Raw genomic sequence first — 6,761 nt, forward strand, 5'->3', positions numbered from 1 at the left:
TCTGATTAAATAAATCTGTTATGCTTTAGTTCTGGGATACATGTGCAGAATGTGCAGGTTTGTTACATAGGTATAGATATATGTATGCCATGGTGGTTTGCTGCACCTATCAACCTGTCACTTAGGTTTTAAGCCCCACATGCATTAGCTATTTGTCCTAATGTACTCCCTCCACTAGTCCCCCATCCCTGACAGGCCCATCCCTGTGTCCATGTGCTTTGATTGTTCAACTCCCACTTATGAGTGAGAACATGTGGTGTTTAGTTTTCTGTTCCTGCATTAGTTTGCTGAGGATGATGGCTTCCAGCTTCATCTATGTCCTTGCAAAGGACCTGATCTTATTCCATTTTATGGCTGCATAGTATTCCATGGTATATATGTACCACATTTTCTTTATCCAGTCTATCATTGATGGGCATTTGGGTTGGTTCCATGTCTTTGCTATTGTGAATAGTGCTGCAAATAAACATATGTGTGCATGTATCTTTATAATAGAATGATTTATATTCCTTTGTTGTTAACTCATCTTTTGAGAGTTGAGAGTCTGCCATAACCCTTATAATGGGTGAGGAAAGGTATCACACTTCCCACCCCTATAATAGTTGCCTCCTAGTTAAAGCTATTGTTCCCTTGGATAATATGTTAGTTTGAGTCCTCTAAGAAGGAGACTCCAAGACAAAATTAAATGTGCAAGAAATGTATTAAGGGAAATGCTCATAAGAGAAAATAGGGAAGGACCATGGGAAGGCAGAAGGAAGACCGGATGGTTGGGCAGAAGCATCTGAGGTTGCAGTATCATCCTTGTGAAAATGTGGTAAGGCTGTCAGAGTGTCCTTGTGCCAAAGTCACCCATCAGAGAAGTCCTGCATCTTGAGGCCTGCACGAGTATCTCTGCCTTTGCTCAATCCATGGCTGAGAGCAACCCATGGGAAGTGCGGCTTTGTGCAAATGCAGCAGTGGACATCTAAGTGCAGCACCTGGGGCTGTCGGTCAGTTTTGCTCACTGCAGTTGGAGATTACAGAGGCACATTCTCACAGCCACTGCAGCTAACAAGCACATTTCTCAAATTAGCATTTTTAGTGTGATATCTGGCTTTTCCTTTCAGACTCCTGAAATTACAAATAACTAGTTGCACCTGTTTTCCAAATTTACCACTTCTGCTCTCAGAATATAGATCAGAAAGTTTCATGTCTGTCTTTGAAAATTTTATTATTGCTAAAATCTAAGATGACTCAATAGCGTCATTTGGAGTTGACCTGATCAGACCAGGACACACCATCCCCAAAATATAACTGTAGAAGACCAGAATCTGCCACCCCAAATATCCCTCTTTTGCATAAGGATTTTTTTGAGTTGGTTATTTTGAGAAACTGCAGACAAAGGAGTTCTGAAAAGTTACCCTTTTGTAGGAGAAATTTGCATCTATATCCATTTGTAAGGGTGTCTCCCTGTCTGCACCAGGGATGAGAAGGATAACTAAACTACTAGAGACTCTATAATCAATGGAGAAGGCATCCATTAAATCTGCATAACAAATCTGACCTGTTTTAGTGTTTTTCATGGTTATTACATCTTAATGGAAACTCTCCCCACACCCTTCTTTCTTTGTTTCAGAGAATAATGGGATTTAAGCCTGAATTCTAAGACTACCCTTTTGAGATCTACTCTAGAGATGTACTCATTGATCTTGTTTTCTCCTTTGTATACAAGAGGTACACATTATTAAACTTTTGTTTGCTTTTCTCTTGTTAATCTGTCTTTTGTTAAATGGAGTTCCAGCTAAGAACTCATGAAGGGCAGAAGAGAAAATTATTTTCCCCCTCCTACAGACCCTTTAAAAAGTTCTACAGACATCCAATAATGTGTGATCCACAAAAGACACTTAGCTTCATGTGGATTTTCAAGACATTTGTCATTTAAATAAAGCTTGACTTTCACATTCACACCAAATTCTACAGTGTAGAACCTTATTTTTAAAGACATTAGCTCTTATTCTTAAAGATTTAAGGAATCTTTATTTTTATGATACTAAAAAAATCTTACTTTTTATAATATTGCACATAAATGTAAAGTGTTAAAAGTCTGGAAGAATATATAACAACTCATCAACAATGAATACCTCTGAGAGGTTTTAACATTTTTATTTGTATTGATTCAGAATTACATTTGGCTGTCTATTTAGAAACCTAAGAAACAGAGGCTCAGGCAAATTGGGGAGTCATTTTTCTCACATAGTGAGGAGTCTGAAAGCGGGTAGTTCAATGACACCAGAGTTAAGGTCTCTGTGATTCTCTCAGCCTTTCCTTCTTGGTCACAAAGTGGTAGCTACTGCTCCAGCCATTCTGTCCAGAGGAGGAAGAAGGAAAGAAAAGGGATGAGGAGCAATTGCCAGCCAAGGCACTCCATTTATTTATTTATTTATTTATTTATTTTTGAGATGGAGTCTTGCTCTGTCTCCCAGTCTGGAGTGCAGTGATGTGATCTCTGCTCACTGCAACCTCTGTCTCCTGGGTTCAAGCGATTCTCCTGCCTCAGCCTCCTGAGTAGCTGGGACTACAGGCATGTGCCAGCATGCCTGGCTAAGTTTTGTATTTTTAGTAGAGACAGGGTTTCACCATTTTGGCCAGGCTGGTCTCGAACTCCTGACCTCAGGTGATCCGCCTGCCTTGACCTCCCAAAGTGCTGGGATTACAGGTGTGAGTCACCATGCCTAGCCAAGACATTTCATTTTAAAGACAGCTTTTCAACAAGCTCCACCCCACAACCTCTAATTTCCCTGTTGACCACACCTTCTGCAAAGGATACTTAGCAATGTTGTTTTTAGCTATACACATTGACATTCTGAGTAAAGTTAGGGTTCTGTTGGTGATGGAAAAAAATCACTTAATCTCTATTTCAACCTCCTTTTATCCCAGTTGTTACAAGATGTATTCTAGTCAACTCTTGCTTAACAAAGTCAGTTTAGCATTTTTATAGTTAAATCACACTTAAACTCAATCAATTCAGATTTCACCTATTTATTTCTCCTTTGCCCTGGGAAGAGCTGGGGAGAGGGGTGTCTATGTGCTGGATAAAGCATGCCATGGAGGTGGAAGTGGTGGTGGGCTCTGGTCCTTGGTAGTCCACACTGACAACTATGGAGCTGTCTGTGGTCTCAGATGTCCATTTCAGACTTATTTGCTGTGCCCTCCTTGTCCTGGAATGCTATCATTTTTACTCTAGAGCTGCCATACCATCTTGCCCCCAAGAACTCTCTGTGAGGTCTGCCATCTTCTAGAACATTGACTGGGAACAAGGCTGAGACAGAACAGGGGCCCATAATAAGGAAGCCAAGCATGGAAATAAAGGAAAATCTTGAGTTCCTTCAAGAGACATTCCAGGAACCTAGTTAACCTTGAGATGTAAATAAGCAACCTGATAAGCAAGAAGGTAACGATAGCTTAAAACAATAGCCACCCAGGAAAATTAAAGCCACAAGATGTTTGTTTCCCTGTAGAAACTAAAGATGACATCTTCACATATATCCCTGCGTTGTTTTTCAGACTCCTATCAGATGGGAAATGCCAACTGCTGCCATGTAGACCACAGATAAGGGGGAGCTGAAGACTGAACTCTGTCCACCATTCTTTGTTCTAAATTTCTTCCTGAGGGGCCTAGAGAAATTCACATCCACAGGCCACACCTTAACATTTTTTTTTGTTAACCCTAAGTTTTTAGACAAAGCCTTGCTTCCTTAACCAATTGCAAATCAAAGAATCTCTGAATCTACGTATGACCTGTAAACCCCCTGCATCAAGATATCCTGCCTTTTGGGGCCAAACCAATGTAACCTCCATGTATTGATTTACAGTTTTGCCTGTGTAAACCAAAAGGTGACTGAGGTAGGTGTCTCAATTGATTAGAGGTTTATTTAGCCAAAGTGGAGGACATGCCTGGGAAAACCACAAATCATAGGAGAATTTGTGATCTACGCTTTTGCCAAGGGTGTCGTGAACTTCAGTATTTAAAGGGGAAAGAGCAAATAGGAGGGAGGGAGGCAGTGAGGCAGATCATTACATTCTTGTGAGGCTCTAAGTAGCCTTACTAAATCTACGTTTTACATATGAAAATAGGGAGTAGTGGAAAAGTCAATAATGCATTGTCTCATTCCCAATAAATCTATATTTTATATAAGATACATTTTAGGGAGGCAGAAATTACAGGCAAAAGCATAAATCAATACATGGAAGGTTTACATTGGTTTGGCCCAGAAAGGTAGGACATCTTGAAGTAGGGGCTTCCAGGTCAAAGGTGGATCCAAAGGTTTTCTGATTGGCAATTGATTGAAAGACTTAAGCTTTGCCTGAAGAGTTTGAAGTTAGCATAAAGAAATGCTTGAGTTGAGATAAGGGGTGCTGTGGAAGCCAGGGTTCTTGTCATGTAGCTGAAGCTTCCAGATAGGAGGTTTCAGAGAGAATAGATGGTAAATTTCCCCTACTGGGCCTTACAAGGTGTCAGACTCTCCAGAAGAAGACCTAGCAAGGGAAGGAGATTCTTTACAGATTGCAAATTTCTCTCACAGAGACAGCTTTGCAGAGTCATTTCAAAATATGTAAAAAAATACATTTTGGGGTAAAACACTTTGATTTCCTTCAGGGCTTACTGTCTGTCATGTGATGCCATACCAGAGTCAGGTTGGAATTTGGTGTCCAAAGAGTCTGTTTGGTCAGTCTTGTGATCTCTATTTTAATGTTAACATTGGTTGGTTGTGCCTAAATTCCAAAGAGAGGAGGGTATAACGAGGCCTGTCCAGCTTTCCCTTCCCATCACACCTGAGCTAGTTTTTCAGGTTTCTTTGGGACCACCTTGCAAGAGAGGGATCCATTTAGTCAGCTGAGGGCTTAGAATTTTAATTTTGGATTACAAGGTAAACAAAAACATTTTATTCTCTCTTAATGTTACATGAAAATCTTGTTCAAAAGAGAAAACCAAATTTACCTTTGTATTTAGTGTATTATTAAAAGCTAATTGTATGTATGTATGTATATGTATATGTGTTTGTGTGTAAGAAATGTTAGTTTGATTTAACCAGTTTTCACAGCTGAATACTTATTCTATAAAAACTTTACAGATTATGCAGTTTATATATAGTTCAAACTACTGAATGAAAAGGTAGGCCCCACAGATGCAAAACTACTGTACCCATCAATCCAAGGTAAAGGTAGATTTACACACTGTACAGCACTTTGCATGGCTGGGGTGGTGGTCAGTTCTGAGTATAAACTTCAACATTGTACAGAAATAAGGTTTTGATTTTTTTTCACTCTTCATACATTCAATATGATTGCAAACTCAGAAGCCTAACTAATAATAAGTGATATGGTTTGGCTATATACCCACCCAAATCTCACCTTGAATTGTCATAATCCCTATGTGTCAAGGGTGGGGCCGGGTGGAGATAACTGAATCTTGGGGACAGTTCTCCCCATACTGTTCTTGTGGTAGTGAATAAGTCCTATGAGATCTGATGGTTTTATAAATAGGAGTTCCTCTGCACAAGCACTCTTGCCTGCTGCCATGTAGGACATGGCTTTGCTTCTCCTTTGCCATCTGCCATGATTGTGAGGCCTCCACAGCCATGTGGAACTGTGAGTTCATTAAACTTCTTTCCTTTATAAATTACCCAGTCTCAGTTATGTCTTTATTAGCAGCGTGAGAACAGACTAATACAGTAAGCATCTGTAGTCTGGAATGAGTACTCACTCCTGGAAGGAATTCACTTGTCTACCCACACAGGGCACTCTTGGACGCCATATTGTATTAGTATATTGTATAGACATAAAAGCAGAGGCCAAGAACATTAAAAGTTGAAAATAAGGTAGTTCTTTTTTTGTTTTGAAAGGAGTTTCTGCAACTAATACTATGTTAAAAGAACTTTAACTTATTAAATAAAATATATTCTAAGTGAACCTCAAAATTGCATTTTATAAACATAAAAATACTTTATTTTGATGTAATACATTAGTCATATCTGCAAATAGAAAATGAAAACTGCATATAAGGTAATATTTCTGACCCAGTAATAAAAGGCACTTTGGAGTTATTTTTTATTTTTTATTTTTTTTTTAAGGGTCAGAAAAACTATTTAAAGCTTGGTAAGACTAACATAACTTAGATATTCAAGATTAAGCTATTTAGTGATTCACTAATATTACAAAACAAGCTTTCTTTTAGAGAGACAGTGGTTTCTTCATGCTAACTGGGAAAGAGCTGGACATATTTAAAAAAGAAGAGGAAACCAATTGGTATCTCAGCATGAATCCTAAGCATATGTTTGGTTTAGGGGTGTGCTCGCCAGTGGATTTTTAATCAGAAAGATTTATCTTACAAGCTAAGTCTCACTTTTGATTTAGAATTTCCCATCTCTGAAGTATTTGTACCTTCTTGGAGACAAAGGCAATACCTCAGACATTCTGTATCTCTGTGTTAGGGAGGCTGGCTGATACCCCTTTAGATTCTGTATTCTAGAAGAAAAAGATGAGAAAAACATTATCAAACATTACTCTAGACTTTTCTGCAATTCAAAACTAATAAAACAGAATTCCATTTTTTTATATTGTACTAGCCAAAGAAAACGAAAATTAGAGCTTCCAAGAGCAGTCTAGTGCTCACCATTATACTTTTACACTTGTGTGGACAAAGCAGCTTTGTAGTTACTTATTTTAAAGCTACAGTACTTAAAAACTTCTTGATAATAAATAACTTGGGTATTTCCAGTCCT

The 6,761-nt window shown here is 38.7% G+C and overlaps 1 annotated feature.

Annotated features, from left to right (window-relative positions):
• Positions 1,162-2,119: an enhancer, noted in NCBI's record as "OCT4-NANOG-H3K27ac hESC enhancer chr3:16728537-16729494 (GRCh37/hg19 assembly coordinates)". NCBI's record gives its function as "activates a minimal SCP1, AML or CMV promoter by ChIP-STARR-seq in naive and primed H9 embryonic stem cells {active_cell/tissue: H9 hESC(naive and primed)}" and the evidence as "EXISTENCE:reporter gene assay evidence [ECO:0000049][PMID:30033119]".

Source organism: Homo sapiens, chromosome 3 (genome assembly GCF_000001405.40).
Source record: "Homo sapiens chromosome 3, GRCh38.p14 Primary Assembly".
In the NCBI taxonomy this organism is placed as follows: Eukaryota; Metazoa; Chordata; class Mammalia; order Primates; family Hominidae; genus Homo; species Homo sapiens.